Source organism: Homo sapiens, chromosome 10 (assembly GCF_000001405.40).
Source record: "Homo sapiens chromosome 10, GRCh38.p14 Primary Assembly".
Taxonomy (NCBI): Eukaryota; Metazoa; Chordata; class Mammalia; order Primates; family Hominidae; genus Homo; species Homo sapiens.
In genome coordinates, this window is record NC_000010.11 from 15,111,443 (window position 1) to 15,134,301 (window position 22,859).

Here is a 22,859-nt window from a genome sequence, read left to right on the forward strand (position 1 = left end):
AGAGGTTGCAGTGAGCCGAGACTGTGCCACTGCACTCCAGCCTGGGTAACACAGCAAGACTCATCTCAAAAAAAAAAAAAAAAAAAAAAGTATAAAAAAATAGTATGTTTGCTTTGGGCTGATAATGGGAAATATATTTATGTAAAATTTTAATGGTAAAAAATTAAATTTCTTTAAAATGTCAGACAATAATACTATGCAAAATGTGATATAGAAGAAGCACTTTTTATTTTTATTTCTCAGGGTTTTTACCTTAAATAACTAATTACTGGCCATATTTGGGAAGTGTTGAAAAAAAGCAGACAATCTGAGGATGATGTTGACTTGGGGATCCAAAGGCACAGGTAAGAGATTTTTATTTTATTTTATTTTAATTAATTAATTAATTTGAGACAGGGTCTCACTCTGTGGCCCAGGCTGGAATGCAATGGTGCAATCTCGGCTCACTGCAACCGCCAACTCCCAGGTTCAAGTAATCCTCTTGCCTCAGCCTCCCGAGTAGCTGGGATTACAGGTGTGTGCTATCACACCCTGCTAATTTTTGTATTTTTAGTAGAGACAGGGTTTCACCATGTAGACTGGCTACAATTAAATTTTGAATTTCATTCCTTTAATTTTAAAATTCAGAGACTATTTGGTTGAATAAAAAAATTGCTGCTAGTTATTCACTCAACAAAAATATTCACTCATGTATTAATATTTTCCTTATATTACTTCCTAAGATATGGGCTTTATATATATATATATATATATATATATATATATATATATATATTTTTTTTTTTTTTTTTTTTTTTTTTTTTTTTTTTGAGACAGTTTCTGTCACCCAGGCTGGAGTGCAGTGGTGCAATCTCAGCTCCATTGCAACCTCTGCCTCCCAGGTTCAAGCAATTCTCCTGCCTCAGCCTCCCGAGTAGCTGGGATTACAGGCACACACCACGAAGCCTGGCTAACTTTTGTATTTTTAGTAGAGACGAGGTTTCACCATATTAACCAGGCTGGTCTTAAACTCCTAACCTCAGGTGATCCACCCATCTCGGCCTCCCAAAGTGTTGGGATTACAAGCCTGAGCCACCATGCCCAGCCTTATATATTCTTATATAAGGATTAAACATTTATAATTTGTACATTTTGTCTTTTTTGTTAAACTGCCATAAAATTAATGATGAAAATAGCCTCTAAAGTTTCAAAAGAAACTCTTATCAAAATTCTTCCTTTGACTGATGATCAATAGTTTTTTTAAAGTCTCGCATAAATTCCACCTGTGTGGAAGAAAACACAGTAAGATGTCTTCTATAGTTTGGCACAGACATTTGGAGAACCAAACGGCGTGAACAGGAAGGAGTGGCTTACCGATTTAGCCAGGATGAGCGCGTCGCTCATGAGGTCCAGCAGGGGCGTCTCTGTGTGGATGTTGTAGAATGAGTAGGCGGCTTTGAGGCTCTTGTGAGCAGGGTGGTGCATCACCGTGGAGGGGAGCGTATAGAAGCTCAGGAAATCAGTCAGTTTACCGTTGGGGCTCTAGGAGCAAAAGTGCTGTCAGACAGAGATCTCCTTGAACCAACTGCATACGTGCATTTCCACTAACTCTGTTCTCTCCCTTGCCCCAGAGAACGAAAAGCAGTAAGTCACACTTCTTTCTCGGCAGTCCAATTTGGGGCCCCTTATATTGTGCTGTGTAGAGGCCAAGAAGGGCCTGGAGTTGGGACTTCAGCCTAAGTGCCCATTGGTGATTTGCACAAAGTTCTTAGGAAGCAGAATGTCATGCCTGTAATCCCAGCACTTTGGGAGGATGAGGCGTGTGGATCATGAGGTCAGGAGTTCGAGACCAGCCTGACCAACATGGTGAAACCCCATCTCTACTAAAGATATGAAAACTTAGCCAGGTGTGGTGGCGCACACCTGTAATCCCAGCTACTTGGGAGGCTGAGGCTGGAGAATCGCTTGAACCCCAGAGGCGGAGGTTGCAGTGAGCCAAGATTGTGTCACTGCACTCCAGCCTGGGCGACAGGATGAGACTCAAAAAAAAAAAAAAAAAAAAAAAAAAGAAAGAAAGATAGAAGCAGAATGTCCTAAAAGGAAAGCTTCCCTCAGGCTGACAAATGAGTCAATTCTTTAGACTAAGGGAACAGTGATAAAAGCAGATTCATTGTTTTTGCAGAAATAAAAGCTTTAAGGATTAGAGGGCTGCCTTCTCCAACTAAAAGATACTGTGTACTATCTCACACTGTCTTAGCACACAGAAAGAATTATATCAGGCCTAAGTAAGGTTGGGTAGAGTCTGGAAGCTGTTTGGAAGAGTTCGCAAGCTTGTGAAAGGTCTTACTACTGCACCAAAATATACACATGTGAACAACTGGAGAATTTTGCAGCTATCAAAAATAAGGGATACAATGGATGACATTCATTTCATCATCACTGGCAAAGCTTCCAATACAAGAAATTAGCCAGTATTGTTCGGGTTGTTGTAATTAGCTGTGGTGGCCTTGCTGACTTTTAGAATATGATGTGTTTGAATCGTGCGGCTGAAGAGGCTGGACCACACACATGCCACTGCTAGTATTTCTTTCAGCAGAAAAGGAAATTCCAGAAGGATGTATGCTTTGGTTTTCAAAGGCTTCCGAGTCATTAGACCTTTCTTCAGCCAGCAAGAAACTAAAGGGGTTAATCTACAGTGATTCCCTACTGCTCTATATTAGCAGCTCAGTATTGGAGATGAATTCAACCTTCAGGTTTAATAAGGATTTTAGATTCTTCTAAGAATTTCTCATATCCATCTCATACGCTGAATTACTGCAGGCACCTGCAGAACCTGATTAGGTTCCCCACCCCATTTTCATCATCTGCTTTCAGAAAACTACTTCTTCACATTCATATTGCTGGTAAAATTACTGTTTCCTCTCTTGCTGTTAAAATGACCAGAGAATCACCAACTGTTGGGGAAGAGTGGGATGATCTTTCCATTGTCCCTCACACCCAATCAATTGTAAAGACTGATAAAAAACAAAACAAAACAAAACAAAACAAAAAAACCCCGCTCACAACAAAACCCACCATGGCACCATGTCTAGATGGCTTATAAGCAACTTCTAACAACTTTCAAGGAACAAGTAATCCCTATTATTACATACACTGTTCCAGAGAAAAGAGAGGACAAGCTCTTCAGCTCATTCTAACTTTGGTATCAAGACAGGACAAGGACAGGGTAAGAAGGGGAAATTAATGGCCAACCTCAGTAGTGAGTATAGAAGATCCTAAGTAAAATATTAGCAAACTAGGGCTGGGCATGGTGGCTCATGCCTGTAATCTCAGCACTTGGGGAGGCCAAAGTGGGTGGATTTTCTGAGCTCAGAAGTTCGAGACCAGCCTGGCCAACGTGGTGAAACCCCGTCTCTACTAAAATACAAAACATTAGCAGGGTGTGGTGGCATGCGCCTGTAGTTCCAGCTACACAGGAGGCTGAGCACAAGAATTGCTTGAACCCAAGAGGCGGAGGTTGCAGTGAGCAGAGATTGCACCATTGTACTCCAGCCTGGGTGACAGAGCAAGACACTGTCTCCAAAAAAAATTAAAAAAAAAAATTGGGAAACTAAATCTAAAAACAGAGGTAGTCTCACACAAATGGAAACCAAAAGAATGTGTCACTAGCAGACATACCCTGAGACTGGCTAAAGGAATTTCTTCAAATAGAAAGGAAATAATAAAAGAAGGAATCTTGAAGCATCAGGAAGGAGGGAAGAATAATAGAGTAGAAATTTGGGCTACATATAATAAATTATGCTTCTCCTCAAGCATCATTATTAATCAGTGTTACAAATCATACTTGATGATTAAAACAAAAATCATAATACTGTCTGATATTTAAGACAACAATATTTAAAAATGAAAAAGGTAAAGTGACCTAAATAAAAGTAAGGTGACTCAAAGTAATAAATGTTGTTACCAATCGACTATAAGTCACATATATATATTGTAATACTCACATCAACCATCATAAAAACTATACAAATACACCCAAAGGTACTATAAATAAAACAGTATCCTAAAATATATTCAAGTAATCCACAGCAAGGCAAGAAAAAAGAAACAGAGGAACAAGAACCAGAAGAAACATAAAGAAACCAAATAATCAAATGGTAGACTTAAGCTCTACCATACCAATAATCACCTTTTATGTAAGTGGTCTAAATACACCAATCAAAAGAAACATCAGTAGTGTGGGTAAAGAAACATGACCCAGCTATAGGCTGTTTCCAAGAAACTCACTTCAAATTCAATAACATCAATAGTTTGAAAGTAAAAGGATGGAAAAAGTCCAAACAATTTTTAAAAGCAGGTCTGGTCACAGTAATATACAATAAAGTATACTCCAGAGCAAGGAAAATTATTAGAAAGAGAGGTATTACATTATGATAAAAAGATCAATCCACTAGGGAGACACAAAGACCCTAATATACATGTGAGTATCAAACAAGAGGCCCAGAAGAAATCAAGAAAAACTGACAGTGTTGGAAGGAGAAATAGACAAATCCACAATTACAGCTGGGGACTTCCATGCCCCTCTCATCAAGTGATAGAACTGCTAGACAGAAAATCAGCATGGAAACAGAAGAGCTGAATAACTCAATTAATCAACATGATGCAATTGCCATACAAAGAACACTCCACACAACCGTAGTGGTATACACGTTTCATGCACCCATGGAATATCCATCAAGACAGTCCATATCCCGAGTAATAAAACAAACCTCAAGAGCCTTAAAATAATCAAAACCATACAGTGTGTGTTCTTTAACCATAATTGAATCAAACTAGAAATCTGTAATAGGGAGACAACAGAAAATCTCTAAACACAGCAAAATTGAACAGCACAATTCTAAGTAGGGGTGGGCTAAAGAGGAAGCCTCAAACGAAACCAAAAAATACATAGACGTGAATGACAACGAAGATACAACATACCAAAATACGTCAGAAATAGCTAAAGCAGTGCAGAGAGGGAAACTGATAGAACTAAATGCTTACTAGTAACAGGGAAAGGTCTCAAGTCAGTAAGTTCTTCCCTCAAGGAACTAGAAAAGAAGAGCAAAATAAACCCAAAGCAAGCAGACAGAAGGAAACAATAAACACGAGGGTAGAAATCAATGACACTGAAAACAGGAAGACAACAGGGAATATCCAACAAAAGTCTGGTTCTCTGGGAAACAAATCAATAAAATGATACAAGTCTACCAATATGGACAAAAACAAAGAAAGAGAAGACACGAATCACCAATATCTGGTATGAAAGAAGAGATATCAGTACAGATCCCACAGCCACTAAAAGGATAACAAGGGAATAAAATGAACATTAATTACACTCATACATTCAACAATTTAGAAGAAATGGATGAACTCCTCAAAAACTATTAAAACTCAACCAAGATGAAACAGATCATCTGAATAGTGCTATAACCATTAAAGACATTTAGTCCATTATTTAAAAACTCCCAAAAAAGAAACAGCTAAGCTCAGATCATTTCAACTGGAGAATTCTAACAAACATTTAAAGAATTAACACCAATTCTCAATTTCTTCTAGAAAATAGAAGAGGAAATAATACTTCCCAACTCCTATTATGAGACCAGTATTATCTTGATATCTAAACCAGACAGACATTACAAAAAAGGCACTCCAGAGAGATATCTCTCATGAACTCAACAAATACTCAGCAAAATATTAGCAATCAATACAACAATGTATAAAAATAATTATACACCCTGACCAAGTGGATATTTTCTAGGAATGTAAGAGTGACCCAACATTTGAAAACCAATCAATGTAATCTAACATATCAACAGATTAAAGGAGAAAAATCATATGATTACATCTATTGAAGCAGAAGCAGCACTGGAAAAAATCCAATGCCCATTCATAAGAACTCTCAGCAAGTTAGAAATAGAGGAGAATGACCTCAAATTGATTAGGAGCACCCACAGAAAAACCTACAGCTAACATCATACTTCATGGTGAAAGAGTAAATGCTTTTCTCCCACCATCAAGAACACGACGAGGATGACAACCTTCCCCACTCTTTCTCAACAAAGCACTGGAAGATCTAGGTCCTGCATTAATGCAAGACCAATAAATAAAGGCATCGAGATTGGAAAGGAAGCAATAAAGCTGTCCCTATTTGCAGATGACACATTGTCTATGTAGAAATCACAAGGAATCTACACACAAACTCCTGGAACCAGTAAGTGATTTCAGCACTGTGGTAGGATACAAACACACAAAAGAAAGCATTTCTACAGGCTAACAATGAACATGCAGAAACTGAAATTAAAAACACAACACCATTATAATCGCCCCAAAGAAAGTGAAATATCTAGCTATACACTTAAGAAAACATGTACAGGATCTGGATGCTCTTAGAGAATGCTGATAAAAGAGATTTTAAAAGACCGAAATAAATGTAGAGACATTCCATGTTCATGGACTGGAAGACTTTTCAATTATCCTCAAATTAATCTATCAGTGTAATGTAATCCCTATCAAACTACCAGCAAGGTATTTTGTAGGCAAAAATAAGCTTATTCTAAAATGTATATGCAAAAGGCAAAGGAAATAGGTTAATTAAAATGATCTTGACAAACAAGAATAAAGTGGGAGGAATTACTCTACCTGATACTAAGGCTTCCTATATCGCTATAGCAACGAGGTCAGTGTGGTATTAGTGAAAAGACAGACATGGAGATCAACGAAATAGAATATAGAGGACCCAGAAAGGAACGCAATACAAAGTGTTAGTATTCAGCATATAAAAAACCTTTCACGGGCTGGGCACAGTGGCTCACACCTATAATTCCAGCACTTTGGGAGGCCAAGGCAGGTGAATCACCTGAGGTCAGGAGTTCAAGACCAAGCCTGACCAACATGGTGAAACCCCGACTCTACTAAAAATACAAAAATTAGCCGGGCATGGTGGCGCACGCCTGTAATCCCAGCTACTCGGGAGGCGGAGGCAGGAGAATAGCTTGAACCTGGGAGGTGGAGTTTGCAGTGAGCCGAGATTGTGCCACTGCACTCCAGCCTGGGCAACAAGAGCAAAATTCCATCTCAAAACAAACAAACAAAAAACCTTTCATAAATCAGTAAGACAACTACGGTCAAAAAAAAAAAACAGGCAAGTGATGTAAATAGCAAGTTTATAAAAGAAATAAACATGGCTAACAGATTGATGAGATACTCAAATTCATCAACAATGAGGATATAAATTAACAAGATACTGTTCCATACTCATCAGGTGGGCCTAAATAAATTTAAAATCTGACCATACCCACGTCTTGTGAGGATGCAAGGAAACAGGAACTCTCTTACACTGCTCAGGACCTTATTGTGGTGAGCTATTTGGCAATTTCTAAAAATGTGAAAGATGGGTCCAACCACAGACTCAGCAGCTCTAATGATATGCCCTGGAAAGCAGTTCCCAAAATGTGGTCTGTGAACCCTGTGGGTACCTGAGACCCTTTCAGAAATCTGTGAGGTCAAAATGATTTTCATAACACTAAGAAGTTGTTTGCCTTGTTGACAAGTTACCATCAGCATCAACGGTGCAAAGCAGTGCTGTGGGTAAAGCTGCTGGTGCCTTAGCACAAAACAAGACAATGGCACCAGACCACACTCATGGTTACCATATTCCTCAACACCACACCCTCATGGTTCAACAAATGGCAGTTTCACTTAAGCATGTCCTTGATAGAGTATTCAGAATTATTAATCTTATTAACTCTCTACCCTTTAGTACACATCTTTGTAATGTTCTGTGATGAAATAGAAGGAAGTGTGTGTAAATAATTCTGCTGCACGCTGAACACAAAGGGTGCTTCAAGGAGAAGCTTTATGTTTATCACCTTGTCTTTACCTCCACTACAAACGTGTCAATAATGTGCTCCCGGGGGAGGAACCAGTGGGCTACTTCCTCTTCATCCATCACTGGAGCCAGATGAAACTGCTTCAGGTAAGTGTTGATTAATTCTCGAACTGATTTGATATCTTTTGGTTCCATTGGTCTCAAACCTGAAGTCTTTGTAACCTTGTTGGAGGGGAAACAAAACAAATCCAGAAGTTCAGGTAGAAGAGGAGTGAAACGACTTTGCACTCAAAGTGTGGTCTGCAGACCAGCAGAATGAGCAGCACGCGGGAGCTAGTTAGAGCTGCAGAGCCTGGCCCTGCCCCAGATCTAATGAATCCGAATCTGCAACTCAACAAGATTTCCTTGGGTTTGTACATACATTAAGGTTTGAGAAGAGCTGGGTTAAAATATAGGCGAGACAGACAATGTGTTGTATCTTCCTATCTGTGCGGCAAGTCTTTGGTCACTACTGCCCATGACCCAAACAAACATCAAAGGGAACAGTACAAGTTCATGATGTACGCCAATACCCAAAACACACCAATGTATATACCAATGCCAAGAATGTTAACAGTCTACATGATGGGACATAGCCAACTTAGCATGACTTCTGGAGTACAGGCAGCCCTCCGTATCCACTGGTTGTGCATCTGTGGGTTCGACCAACCTTAGACGAAAAATATTCGGGGAAAAAAAACTGGATCGTTGCATCTGTGCTGATCATGTACGGACTTTTTTTCTTGTCATTATTTCTTAAAAATGCAGTGTAACAACTACTTACATAGCATTTAGATTGTATTTGACCTTATAAGTAATCCAGAGATGATTTAAAGTATACAGGACAGGGGGCATGGTGGCTCATGCCTGTAATCCCAGCACTTTGGGAGGCTGATGCCGGTGGATCATTTGAGGTCAGAAGTTCGAGACCAGCCTGGCCAACATGATGAAACCCTGTCTCTACGAAAAATGTAAAACTTAGCCAGGCGTGGTGACATGCACCTGTAATCCCAGCTACTCGGGAGGCTGAGGCAGGAGAATCGTTTGAAACTGGGAGGCGAAGGTTGCAGTGAACCATGATCACGCCACTGCACTCAAGCCTGGGAGACAGGGAGGGACTTCGTCTCAAAAATAAATAAATAAAGTATACAGGAGGATGTGCATACATTATATGCAAATACACAATGCTACGCCATCTTATATAAGGGACTTGAGCACCCAAGGATTCTGGTATCTGAGGGGTCCTAGAACCAATCCTTCATGGTTTCTGAGGGATGCTTTAAAACTGCCAAGTCTGACATTTTGAAAATACAACTGAGCAACTTGTTTTATTATGCAATAGCCCATTAAAAGCGTGTGGTGATTTTGTTCTCTTGAACAAAAATGATATAGGAGTGAATCATATCAGGCTGGATGGGAAGGCAAGCATTGTTCATAGCCAAGTATTTTCTAAAGGCAAACGGGTTTACAGCCATACCAGCCTGAAAGTGTCCATCTTGTCTAACGGCAAATGGCTGCCAGGGACGCGGCCTGGCCTCTCCTGCCACATCTTCTGGGTAAAGGTGATCAGGGTAGGTGTCTTATCACTACTCCAGAGCTTTAGAATTTAAAAAATTAAGCCATAGGAATAAAACACCTAAAAGTCAGGACAGGTCCCCATTTGAATTTGTTCAGCTGTTGTCCTTGTAAAAGCTCCTGACATCACTTTGCTCTCTAGAACTGTTCAGGGGCCAGGGGACTTGAGACTAAAAGTCAGGAAGCCCAACAAACAGACAATTTTAAACTGAGAAATACAGTTTATTTTTTTCTGTAAACCTGATTTTTCCCCCCCTTGGAGAAACACTAGATACATTTTAAGAGATGAATAATCTGTATATAAATATTGCTACTCTACTTTTTCTGCCCTAAATGATTATTTTTAAAAATTTTATATAATCTAGCAGTTCCACTCTTAAGAAATATTGTTAAAGGAAAAACTTCCTGTAGAATGAGGTCATCACAATTCCTGCATGCCCCCAGGTGGAAGCCCAAGGGGGAAAACAGGTGTTTTTTTTGAGACGGAGTCTCACTCTTGTCACCCAGGCTGGAGTGCAATGGTGCGATCTCGGTTCACTGCAACGTCTGCCTCCTGGGTTCAATCGATTCTCTTGCCTCAGGCTCCCGAGTAACTGGGATTACAGGCACCTGCCACCACGCCCGGCTAATTTTGTGTTTTTAGTAGAGACAGGGTTTCACCACGTTGGCCAGGCTGGTCTCGAATGCCTGACCTCAGGTGATCTGCCCACCTCGGCCTCCCAAAGTGCTGGGATTACAGGTGTGAGCCACCACACTAGGCCAAGGAAAATAGGTTTTCTCTTGAGTGCCAGCTGTCATCAACTATTAGCTGTGCTGGGGTTTCTAAGCTTCAGTGACACACAGTGCTGATTGATTATCGATTAGCTGGGGGAAAGGGGAATGGGAGGTGCATGCTCTGTATTTATACACCAACAGTCCTCAGCTGAATATTTACTATAAGCCATTCTATTATGATGATGTCATGTCTAAAGCACTTCAGCTAAAATGCCATTTAATAATCTAAATTTAGAGAATTTAAGTCCTTCACATTTAACAGGCAATGCATACCTTTAGTCTTTTAGTACCTCTCAAAACCAATGAGTCAGAAATGTCCAGATCTCCACTGGAAATAAATAAGCACTTCTAAATGCTAGTGGGAAGACCAAAACCATATAAAATATATATCATAGTCATTTAAAAAATTAGTTTCTGCTATGAGGCAGACTTAGCTTGATAAATTTCAAATAGCCTTTCTCAATATCAGAATTTTTTTTCTTTTGTTACTGGTTCAGTAACAATCAACAATATCAAGCAATTAGATGAATTAATGAAAGCCACAGGATATATGATATCTGTTAATAGAGAACATTCAGAAATGAAAAAAAAATTTGCCAACTTCCTTCTAGAGCAAAACATTCTTCTGGAGCACAATTCTCATTCATTGAATATCCAACTGTGAAACCACTAAAGGAACTGCCCAGCAGATCGCCTTAAAGCAGCAGTTCTCAAATATTTTGGTCTTGGGACCCTTTTACACTCTTTTTTTTTTTTGAGATGGAGTCTTACTCTGTCGCCCAGGCTGGAGTGCAGTGGTGTGATCTCAGCTCACTGCAACCTCTGCTTCCCGGGTTCAAGTGATTTGATCCTGCCTCAGCTTCCCAAGTAGCTAGGATTACAAGCACGTGCCACCACGCCCAGCTAATTTTTTGTATTTTTAGTAGAGATGCAGTTTTATCGTACTAGCCAGGATGGTCTCGATCTCCTGACCTTGTGATCTGCCCACCTCGGTCTCCCAAAGTGCTGGGATTACAGGCATGGGCCACTGCACCTGGCCTACGCTGTTAATAATGATTGAGTACCTCCAAAGAGCTTTGCTTATGTGGGTTATGCATATCCACACTTATCGCATTAGAAATCAAAACTGAGAACATTTTTAAACAAAAGACTACAGAAATACACATGCCACATGGCCTCTGGAAGACTTCACAGTATACTCAGACGAGAATGAAAGTGAAAAAATTACATACTAGTGTTATTATGAAAATAGTTAAAAAAAAAAAATGACTGCATAGATTCAAAGATCTTGGGGGACTTCCAGAGGTCCCTGGGCCACACTTTGAGAACTGCTATCTTAGGTCTCTAAAGGTTAGAAAAATAAGTAGCAGAATTTAGACAAGCAATATGTTGCCTAAATTCAGGTAAAAAGTATCATAAGTTTGGCAACTTATAAGCATTTTGAACAAATTTTTATAGAAGCATTAAAGCATAAGAGCACACCAGGATGTACCAGCTATAAAAAACAGAAAGTCCTAGAAAACAGGGTAAGAATATTTACATTTGCTGACTAATAGCTAAAATAATCTGTGTAAGAATGAAATACTGCCAGGCACGGTGGCTCACACCTGTAATCTCAGCACTTTGGGAGGCTGAGGCAGGCGGATCACAAGGTCAAGAGATCGAGACCATCCTGGCCAACATGGACTAAAATACAAAAATTAGCTGGGTGTGGTGGCACGTGGCTGTAGTCCCAGCTACTCAGGAGGCTGAGGCAGGAGAATTGCTTGCATCCAGGAGGCGGGGGTTGCAGTGAGCCAAGATCGCATCACTGCACTCCAGCCTGGCGACAAAGCGAGACTTCGTCTCACAGAAAAAAAAAAAAAAAAAAAAAAAAGAAATAACTTTTGAAAAGCAAAACAAACACTCAAATTATAACTATTGTCCTCAGAAAGAACCAGGAAGGCTATTGGGCTTACATTAAAATGGCTAGCTTCCGTATAATGGAATAGTGAAGCGGTCATGTTTTCTGAGAGTTCAATAAAATGCAGAGAATCATTTCCAGTAAATAAGAAAAATCTCAGTTTCATAAGCAAACTCTGTATCTGAATCAGATATCCTTTCCCATGGCCCAACTAATATGCATGATTCATGGGCCTCTACGTAGATTGAAATCTGTGTAAAATCTGCTTATAAGTACATAAGGAAATGAAGCTCAGAGCTCTATTAAAAAACAGTAGTGTTGTTATCTGTCAAGTTGTGGTACAAACCGTTTGAGAGCCAAGATTCCAGAGAAGAGATGTAAGCAATGATTATGGTTATTTATATGATTCAAAAAGGAGCAAACAGAATGCTAACCACTAAAAAAACCATCTAATGCCACTAAATATAGAACACCTTATATGCCTCGACATGTCTAAGCAAGCACACCCTCCTTGCAGCACAGTGCTAAGACCTTAGTGGATCATTCTCTGACTTCTGCTTTTTATCAACATCAAATTACCTTTCAGCTCATTGACACAGATGCGCAAAATCGAACTTGGAAATACTCAACACCAGATCAAAAAAACAAAACAAAATAAAATCTCCCCAAACACTGAAAGGGTAGGGAGGCATCGTAAGGCGTGTTTCTTGGGGAAACCTTAGTATTTTAGGTAACAGTTGTGAATGGCGCAGGCCCTGCGACAGCTCTGCTTCTGGCCAGCAGACTCTGAGCAAGTCAATCTGTGTTCTCATGGCCCCTTCTGTGCTATGGGGATAAGGACCCATCCTCCTGTGGCTGTTGTGATTAGTAAATGAGACTACGGCTGTTAAATGTCGAGCATAACGCCGGCCACAATAAATGTTAGCTCCTATATTCAAAAGTCCATGAAAAAGACAGAAAGCTGGCACTCCTACAAGCAAAAAGAGTAACAATGAAGCAGAAAATGAGATTGATCTATACAGCAAAAGCTGTATTCCATAAGTTTGCTTTTACGCTGAATGGTACAAAAATGTTCTTAAATAACTTGACTGCTAGCAGTGGTATCACCCATCTGGGCCCATAGGAGAGGAAGGGGCATCCGGTGTATGCAGTTCTGTCCAGTTTAACTCAAGAGGCAGACACCCAAGGGACTGCTGCCAGCACCTTCCAATTTCATAATATCTGTACTTTAATCTCTCTTTTATTCTATTAATTTACTCTTTATTTTCCTTTCCTTTCCTATGACTTAAAAGGGGGAAAGGAGACTGGGGCAAGCCAATGAGAACTGTTTGCATCTTGACAATCGTCCTTTTCTGCCTTGATTTATGCTGTACTCACAGTGAGACATTCAGTGGGGCTGAGCCATGGTGTCCCCATAGTGGGTAATGTTAGAGGGGATGGCAGAGGCAGAGGGAGCTAACAGGGAAACATGGAGGTCTGGGGCCTGCATCCCAAGCCCTCCACTTGGTGATATTAACACATCCTCGCCTAAGTGCCAACTGTCACATACCTCAGTTTCTTCATCTGTAAAATGGGGATAAGAAGTACTAACTTCAAAAGGTTGCTGTGAGAATAAATTGAATAATGTATTTGAAAGCACTTCATAACCTTCAATTTATGGGTGGGGGAAAGGCAGTCACTATCACAGCACGACTGGAACAGGACTGCTACCAGGAACCCAGGTTCACTGGAAGTAAGATGCCACAGTCTGGTTTCATAATACACGCCTATACCCAGGAGAAGATTGACTCTTGTACAAAAATATTAAGGCTGATGAATGGAGTCAAGTCAAAAATAGCTTTAGCACTTTAAGAAAATCATTGTGAGTAAACCAATGGTATGTGCTAAAACTCCTTATTCTTCACTCCATTGTAGGCAACCTACATGTAAGTGTGTCTTTTCCTTGTACATAAGCTAGGCTGCTTGAGGTTCAAGAAACTGAAATTTGGAGAGACCAAAGTGGAACAGCATTTGCCCATAGTGAAAAAAAGAGGCATTTTTGAAGTTTGTATGTATGTATGTATGTATGTACGTATGTATTTAGTTATTTATTTAGTTATTTATGAGATGGAGTCTCGCTCTGTGGCCAGGCTGGAGTGCAATGGCGTGATCTCAGCTCACTGCAACCTGTGCCTCCTAGGTTCAAGCGATTCTCCTGCCTCAGCCTCCCTAGTAGCTGGGACTACAGCCATGTGCCACCATCCACAGCTAATTTTTTAATTTTTAGTAGAGATGGGGTTTCACCATGTTGGCCAGGGTGGCCTCGATCTCTTGACCTTGTGATCTGCCCGCCTTGGCCTCCCAAAGTGCTGGGATTACAGGTGTGAGCCACCGCGCCTGGCCGAAGATTTTATTTCAATTCACACGTCACAACACTTCAAACAAAAGATCCCATCAGTGGCACACAGATTCTAAGATGGCCCCCAGTGATCCCACCTCCTGGGGTTCACAGCTGGTGTGATCTGCTCCTGTTACGTGTGGGCAGGACCTGTGATTTGGTTCTAACCAATAGAAATGGCAATGGCGGCTGGGCGCAGTGGCTCACACCTGTAATCCCAGCACTTTGGGAGGCTGAGGCGGGTGGATCACCTGAGGTCAGGAGTTCGAGACCAGCCTGACTAATATGGTGAAACCCCATCTCTACTAAAAATACAAAAATTAGCTGGGCGTGGTGGTGCACACCTGTAATCCCAGCTACTTGGGAGGCTGAGGCAGGAGAATTGCTTGAACTCAGGAGGCGGAGATTGCAATGAGCTGAGATTGTGCCATTGCACTCCAGCCTGGACAACAGAGCGAGCCTCCATCTTAAAAAAAAAAAAAAAAAGAAATGGCAATGGCGACTGGATGTCACTTTCATGAATCACCTGCATAGGGTTCTGACTTCCATCTTGCCAGCAGATCCTCTCTATAGACTCTCTCTCTCACTGGCTTTGATGAATAAGCTGCCATGCTGTGAGCTACCCTATGGAGAATCCAACATGGCAAAGAACTGAGGCCCTTGGTCCAACAGCCAGTGAGGAACTCAATCCTGCCAACAACTACAGGAGCATGGAAATGGATCCTTCCCTAGTCAAGTTTCAGATGAGACCTCAGCCCTGGCTGACACCTGGGTGGCAACTTCAGGAGAGACCCTGAACAAAGCACAGGACTCAGCTAAGCTGTGACTGGATTTCTGGCCCACAGAAGCTGTGTGATAATAAATGTTGTTTTAAGCAGCTCAGTTTGTGGTCATTTTTTACATGGCCATAGATAACTAATATAGCCAAGCCCCAAATAAAGCCAAGTCTAGAAAGCACATTTATATTTTTCCCTATTAAAAATGATAACTTGGCTGGGCGTGGTGGCTCACACCTGTAATCCCAGGACTTTGGGAGGCCAAGGCAGGCGGATCACAAGGTCAGGAGTTCAAGACCAGCCTGGCCAACATGGTGAAACCCCCGCCATCTCTACTAAAAATACAAAAATCAGTTGGGTGTGGTGGCACACACCTGTAATTCCAGCTATTTGGGAGGCTGAGGCAGGAGAACTGTTTGAACCCGGGAGGCGGAGGTTGCAGTGAGCCAACATCCAGCCACTGCACTCCAGCCTGGGTAACAGAGCGAGACTCTGTCTCAAAAAATAAAAAAATAAAAAAAATAACTTTTCGCCAGGCGTGGTGGCTCACTCCTGTAATCCCAGCATTATGGGAGGCCGAGGCAGGCGGATCACAAGGTCAGGAGATCAAGACTATCCTGGCTAACATGGTGAAACCCCGTCTCTACTAAAAATACAAAAAATTAGCCGGGCATGCTGGCGGGCGCCTATAGTCCCAGCTACTCAGGAGGCTGAGGCAGGAGAATGGCGTGAACCCAGGAGGTGGAGCTTGCAGTGAGCCGAGATCCCGCCACTGCACTCCAGCCTGGGCGACAGAGTGAGACTCCGTCTCAAAAAAAAAAAAAAAAAAAAAAAATAAATAAATAAATAAATAAATAAATAAAATAAAATAAATAAATAACTTTTCGCTGGGTGCAGTGGCTCATGCCTGTAATCCCAGCACCTTGGGAGGCTGAAGCAGGCGGTTCACTTGAGGTCAGGAGTCTGAGGCCAGCCTGGCCAACATGGTGAAACCCCATCTCTATTAAAAATGCAAAAATTAGCCGGGTGTGGTGGCGGGTGCCTGTAGTCCCAGCTACTTGGGAGGCTGAGGTGGGAGAATCGCTTGAACCCGGGAGGCAGAGGTTGCAGTGAGCTGAGATTGTGCCATTGCGCTGAAGGGGCAACAGAGCAAGACTGTCTCCAAAAAAAAAAAAAATGACAACTTTTCACATTGAGAACGAGATAGTTTAAGAAGATGATAATTTAATGAGACATTATTTCCACTCGCTGGGTCTCTCCTCTACACTTGATTCCTGAGTTCCAACGCATTAAGAGATCAGCAGCCTGGACTTTTCTTCCTTCTTACTTAACAGACCATAAATTTCCCAAATTTCAAAACTTACTTGCCTTGAGTTCAGTCTTATCCAACTACCAATGAAACAACTTTAAGAGCCTTGGGAAAAAAGGAAAGATTGGCATTTCCAAACAAACTCCCTACCTTCCCTAGCTCCCGAGTTCCATGAAATCTCTTTCGCTCCATATTCACTTCCTCAGACACACCAGTCAGTTTTTAGACTCCTGCAAATAATTCTTTTCTGCATTAAAAGCGTCAGTTGTTACAGCTTCAAAAAACTGCAAATCATTCTTACTTACATCTGGAAGTCTGTATAGCTTCATTGTTCTCTGTAAAGTCATATTTCTACTCAAGTGAGAAAATTTCACTTCTACCAATTTTCTGGGGTTTAGTGATCGATGCCAGTATCTGGAATACAATAAAGGTTTTAAAATCAAATTGATTTCTAACTCTACAAGTTTTCACTCTTTGTCTCAGCTTGGCTGTTACATAAGCATTTACTGAATACTTACGTTGTACTAGACAGAGGCCCTCATCCTATGTCATCATTTTATCCGTCCAGTTTTAATCTCTAAAATACATCTTATACTCCAGTTATGTTCCTCAGGAGTTTGTGACCTTTCATCTTTTTCACTAAAGTGGAATCTTAAAACTGCAAAGGAAATATTAGTTGGCTGGGCACGGTGGCTCATGCCTGTAATCCCAGCACTTTGGGAGGCTGAGGTGGGCAGATCACTTGAGGCCAGGAGTTCAAGACCAGCCTGGCCAACATGGTGAAACCCCATCTCTACTAAAAATACAAAAATTAGCCAGGCACGGTGGTGTGCACCTGTAATCCCAGCTACTCGGGAGGCTGAGGCAGGAGAATCACTTGAACCTGGGAGGCAGAGGTTGCAGCAGTAAGCCGAGATCATGCCACTGCACTCCAGCATGGGCAACAGAGCAAGACCGTCTCACACACACACAAAAAAGAAATATTAATCATACCCAGGTTTCCAAGTGTGTAAGGACCATCACTGATTCTACAAAAGGCCAATCAGAAAGTTTAAAAACATGAAAATAAATCCCCTAAATTAGTCACCTTCACTTTTACAGCCTACACACCAAAGAAAACAACTTTTTGAAAACTAGCTTAAATTTCTTCAGTGATTCCAGGCTCTGGGATAAGTGATTTATATTAAAATATACCCCTGAAGTCTAGTATTCCATTTACTTAACGAATGTAATAATTTAACAGGATATAGTAATTTTAAGTTTCATCCTATTTGAGTCAATAAAAACAGTGGTGAGGGGTGGGGAGATAAACTCTGATGTTTTAGAAACAGGTTAGTCTTGTGGGAATCTGATCATTTTCTCACTGGAATAACCTGTGAAAGCTTGACTAGTGCAGACGAAGTTGTAAAAACATAGCTTAGGTCTTCCTACTCTGAACAAACAAATACATCTGAGGCTTTTGAATGGATGCTTATTAGACTTTCAGGACACTTTGGTGGTGCTGCAAAGCATGGCAGAAAACTGATCTTTGGGGTGGAAAGAAAATGGTATGACATTGGAATTTTAAGATCATCATGTCCTAGGTTTTCCCATGTAGAGACAGCATTCATCTTTCACATGGAATAGACTTAGAAGTATAGATCCACACGAGGTCAGGAGTTCAAGACCAGCCTGACCAACATGGTGAAACCCTGTCTCTACTAAAAATACAAAAATTAGCTGTGTGTGGTGGCACATGCCTGTAATCCCAGCTACTCGGGAAGCTGAGGCAGGAGAATCACTTGAACCCAGGAGGCGAGTTTGCGGTGAGCCAATATCACGCCACTGCATTCCAGCCTGGGCAACAGAGTAAGAGTCTGCCTCAAAAAAAAAAAAAAAAAAAAAAGTATAGATCCAGCATCATTAGTAGGAAAATGTCAAAAACTTTTTTTTAATCACCAAGTGGCAAATGATATACCAGAAAGAATACTGGACTTGGTGATTCTAGGTTCTAGTCTCCATCTCTGCTACCAGCAAAAACTACATCTAGCAGAACAGTGGTGAGGCTCAACATTTTTGATAAAGGGAGGACCTGAGGTAGAAATATGGTACTGGTACCTGCATGTGGCTATGGGCTTAGGAAGAACCACTCCCGCGGTGTACACAGCCTGGAAGATCCCTTCCAGGTTCACTCTTCTAGTGATCTCTCGGATTAGCACTGGGGCTACCCGTTTCGATCTCAACTTCTTATGAACACAAAGAAAGTTGATTTCTACCATCTTCTTCACACTAAGAAATAAAGATGGTGAAGATTAAGAGTCAAAACGAGATTCAAAATGAAGAGTCAACACATTTTAAAAAATAAGATGATACCCAGGAAATATCCAAGAATAAGAATGCAGGCTGGGAACACTGGCTGTCGCCTGTAATCTCAGCACTTTGGGAGGCCAAGGCAGGTGGATTGCTTGAGACCAGGAGTTCCAGACCAGCCTGGGCAACACTGAGACTCTCATCTCTACAAAAAACAAACACCAGCCAGTCATGTTGCCGCATGCATGTGGTCCCAGCTACTTGGGAGGCTGAGGTGGAAGGATCACTTGAGCCTGAGAGGCAGAGGGTGCAGTGAGCCATGATTGCATCACTGCCCTCCAGCCTGGACAACAGAGCAAGGCCCTGTCTCAAAAAAAAAAAAAAAAAAAAAAAAGAAAAGAAAGAAAAAGAAAAAAAAGAACATAAAGGCCATTCTATTTTCTTCTTTCTTTCTTTTTTTTTTTTTTTTTTTTTGAGACAGATTGTCGCACTGTCACCCAGGCTGGAGTGCAATGGCGCAATCTTGGCTCACTGTAACCTCTTACTCCTGGGTTCAAACGATTCTCCTGCGTCAGCCTCCTAAGTAGCTGGAATTACAGGTGCACGCCACCATGCCCAGCTCATTTTTGTATTTTTAGTAAAGACAGGGTTTCACCATGTTGGCTACGCTGGTCTCGCATTCCTGACCTCATGATCTACCTGCCTCGATCTCCCAAAGTGCTGGGATTATAGGCGTGAACCACCCACCGCACCTGGCCTGAAAGCCATTCTTTAACACAATATTTAACAAAAATATTCTATCACTTAGACATTTCACAAATTCAGACGGAAACACTATTCCCCATATCTCCCTGCCAAAATGATTGTAAAACGCACGGAGGCTCCAACCCTCTTGTTCTAAATACATTTTGGGACTTTGGTCCATTATACGTTTTCAGTTTAGAAAATGGATCAGCTATGGCTCTTTACGTTTCTTTCCTTTTTTTTTTTTTTCCTTTTTTGAGATGAGGTCTCGCTATGTTGACCAGGCTGGTCTCGACCTCCTGGCCTCAAGCAATCCTCCCATCTCAGCCTCCCAGTGCTAGGATTACAAGCATGAATCACTACGACCTGCCCGTCTTTAAGTTTCTAGATCTGTTTTTCCTAAATTATGGTAATAACTGAGTCATCCTGGTGCAGAATCTGATAAGATGTTGCTTTGGAGTGTGATACAAACCCCTGGGACCCCTGAGAGGGGCTTTGAGCAGACCAGAGCTGGTGCGCTCTGAACTACAGTAAACCTCCTAGATCTTCAAATCCTGTTCCTGGTTCTGTTTCCAGGTACACACTTCATTTGGCACAAAATATTCCTTGAGATCAAATGCTTTTCACAGTAAATAAGCTAACCTAATACACTGACAAGTAAAGAGACCAATTATATATGACATCTTTGACTTTCATAGCTGGATCTTTGACTTTCCGGGCTGGAGATCCAAACTAAAAGTGCAATGTATCCTATGGAGAGAAAGCTTTATCTCTCCTAAAAAATTTTTAAGTAATTTTTTTTTTTTGAGATGAAGTCTTGCTCTGTCACCCATGCTGGAGTGCAGTGGTATAATCTTGGCTCACTGCAATCTCTTCCTCCTGGGTTCAAGTGATTCTCGTGCCTCAGCCTCCCAAATAGCTAGGATTACAGGCACGTGCCACTATGCTGGCTAATTTTTGTATTTTTAGTAGAGATGGGGTTTCGCCATGTTGGCCAGGCTGGTCTCGAACTCCTGACCTCAAGTGATCTGCCAGCCTCGGCCCCGACCAAAGTCCTGGAATTACAGGTGTGAGCCACTGTGCCTGGCCAAGGCTTCGTTTTTTCTGATACATATATGTGTGAGCATGTATGAGATTGAGAGGCAGAGAGAGAAAAAGAGAAAAAGAAACCATTGTCCTTTATTTTTATTCACAGTCCGTTTTTTTTTCTTTACTACTTAATAAATTTATATTTTAAAACAGTTTTAGGTTCACAGCAAAACCAATCAGAGAGTTTCCATAAAGCCTCTGCCTCCACACATACACAACCTCCCTGATCACCGGACAGCTTGCATTCAGTCATTTTTATTTTTATTTTTATTTTTTTTGAGATGGAGTTTCGCTCATGTTGCCCAGGATGGAGTGCAGTGGCGCAATCTCGGCTCACTGCAACCTCCGCCTCCTGGGTTCAAGCAATTCTCCTGCCTCAGCCTCCTGAGTAGGTGGGATTACAGGTGCCTACCACCACGCCCAACTAATTTTGTATTTTTAGTAGAGATGGGGTTTCACCCATGTTGACCAGGCTGGTCTTAAACTCCTGAGCTCAGGTGATCTATCTGCCTCAGCCTCCCAAAGTGCTGGGATTAGAGGTGTGAGCCACTGCGCTTGGCCTGCATTCAGTAACTTTTAAAGGCCTAATCTAATTGTAATTCTTAGAAAATAAACATATAAAAACCGCATGGACGAGCTTAAACATGTACCTGTCATAAATCCGAATGTTTGCTGGGATGGCACTTATGAACCCGACCAGTTTTTTATTTGAAGACACTCTGACCCCACAGTGCCACTGCAGGAGCCAGCCTGGTGGACGCAGAGCCCTGAGGTCACGGTAGACAAGAAAACAGGCACCAGTTATTGTCCAAGAACACAGGAACAGACGCAGGAGTCCCCAAGTCAGCAGCGCCTATCCACGACATCTGTGATCGATGAGACTTACCACAACAGGAACTCGGGTGAATAGTCAAATCGGAACATATTGTCATCATCTTCTACGTAATTCTCATTTAACAACGTGTATAACTCCTTGAGCTATAAGATAAAACAAGTGTCCTATCCATGGTGCTCAGAATCAACTTAGAAGCAATGTGTGAATGCAGGAGTTGAATTTAAGAGGTTTTTACTCACTCACCACTTCGGCATCACTCAAGTCTAAAGTGTCCCACATAAAACCCTGTGGCAAAGAATACGGTTCTTGGCGTACGTTGTCTTTATCTGGTTCAATTGCACCATGAGATGTTATGACTTCATCTGAACAGGGAGAGAAAGAGAAAAAAGAAAGGCAAAAAGCGAGAATATTAAATGACAAAGTATTCTAACCATCCAAAGTGGTCAGTGACATAAGCAAAATCTGACTTAGGGCCCTCGGGTTTCAGATAATCTTTAAAAAGATGCTGTTATATCAAGCGCCTCTGGACTGAAACAGGAAAGCTAGGCAGTGGTGTGAAATCATTGCTGTTTCACCAATTATTTTTCTTTTCTTTTTTCTTTTGAGACGGGGTCTCACTCTGTCGCCAAGGCTGGAGTGCAGTGGTGCAATCATGGCTCACTGAAGCCTTCAACTCCTGGGCTCAAGCGATCCTCTCTCCTCAGCCTCCCAGGTAGCTGGGACTAGAGTTGTACAACACAGTGCCCGGCTAATTGTAAATTTTTTTTGTAGAGACGGAGTCTCATTATGTTGCCCAAGCTGATCTCAAACTCCTGGGTTCAAGTGATCCTCCCACCTCAGCCTCCCAAAGTGCTGGGATTGTAGGTGTGAGCCACCACAGCTGGCCTATTTTGCCAATTAAATGAAAGGAGAAATCCTTTGTCATCCAGTGACAAAGATGACATTACAAAACAACAGTGATTCCGAGTCTCAAGGCCTACAATGCAGCCTTATCTTACACACTGTCATAAGCAATGTAGGTTTCATTCAACAGCCTTGGGAGGTGTGTTCTTTTTACTGCATTTCCACAAACTGGGAGAGGAAAGGGCTGCGGTGACCTCTGCCCCTCCCAGCAAAACCTAAAAATAATTTCAAGGCTGGTTACTTCTCCCCATCTAAACTGCTAGCAGCGTAGTTCAGGCCATCACAATTTCTAGTGATTTCCACCAAGAAGAGTTTTCCAAGTCCTTCTCTGCAGAGCTTCCCAACATGGTAGGACTAAAACCCAGGCTCTTCCCCATGGCTGCTGCCTGCCTCGGCC

At 41.6% G+C, this 22,859-nt stretch overlaps 1 protein-coding gene and 1 long non-coding RNA gene across 9 annotated transcripts in view, besides 2 other annotated features; one reads left to right on the forward strand and one right to left on the reverse strand.

Annotated features, from left to right (window-relative positions):
- The window catches only part of NMT2 (N-myristoyltransferase 2), a 62,994-nt gene that overhangs the window by 5,743 nt on the left and 34,392 nt on the right, over positions 1–22,859 (reverse strand). For 5 of the 8 annotated variants that reach the window (XM_005252642.6, XM_017016949.3, NM_004808.3 and 2 more), the window contains 7 exons: positions 21,803–21,921; positions 21,611–21,702; positions 21,375–21,491; positions 18,700–18,870; positions 16,908–17,016; positions 7,901–8,071; positions 1,354–1,521 (listed from right to left, as the gene is read on the reverse strand). In XM_005252642.6, coding sequence (XP_005252699.1) covers positions 1,354–1,521; positions 7,901–8,071; positions 16,908–17,016; positions 18,700–18,870; positions 21,375–21,491; positions 21,611–21,702; positions 21,803–21,921 — 947 coding nt within the window. The remainder of the gene's footprint in view (positions 1–1,353; positions 1,522–7,900; positions 8,072–16,907; positions 17,017–18,699; positions 18,871–21,374; positions 21,492–21,610; positions 21,703–21,802; positions 21,922–22,859) is intronic. The other 3 variants (XM_047426019.1, XM_006717539.5, XM_017016951.3) reach the window with 1 other exon arrangement.
- Positions 86–8,127, forward strand: LOC105376431 (uncharacterized). Its single transcript, XR_930693.4, has 2 exons — positions 86–344; positions 7,781–8,127. It is a non-coding gene; the product is annotated as an uncharacterized LOC105376431 (long non-coding RNA).
- Positions 11,434–11,613: an enhancer, noted in NCBI's record as "active region_3092". NCBI's record gives its function as "activates an Ori minimal core promoter by ATAC-STARR-seq in GM12878 lymphoblastoid cells {active_cell/tissue: GM12878}" and the evidence as "EXISTENCE:reporter gene assay evidence [ECO:0000049][PMID:35858748]".
- Positions 12,520–12,659: an enhancer, noted in NCBI's record as "active region_3093". NCBI's record gives its function as "activates an Ori minimal core promoter by ATAC-STARR-seq in GM12878 lymphoblastoid cells {active_cell/tissue: GM12878}" and the evidence as "EXISTENCE:reporter gene assay evidence [ECO:0000049][PMID:35858748]".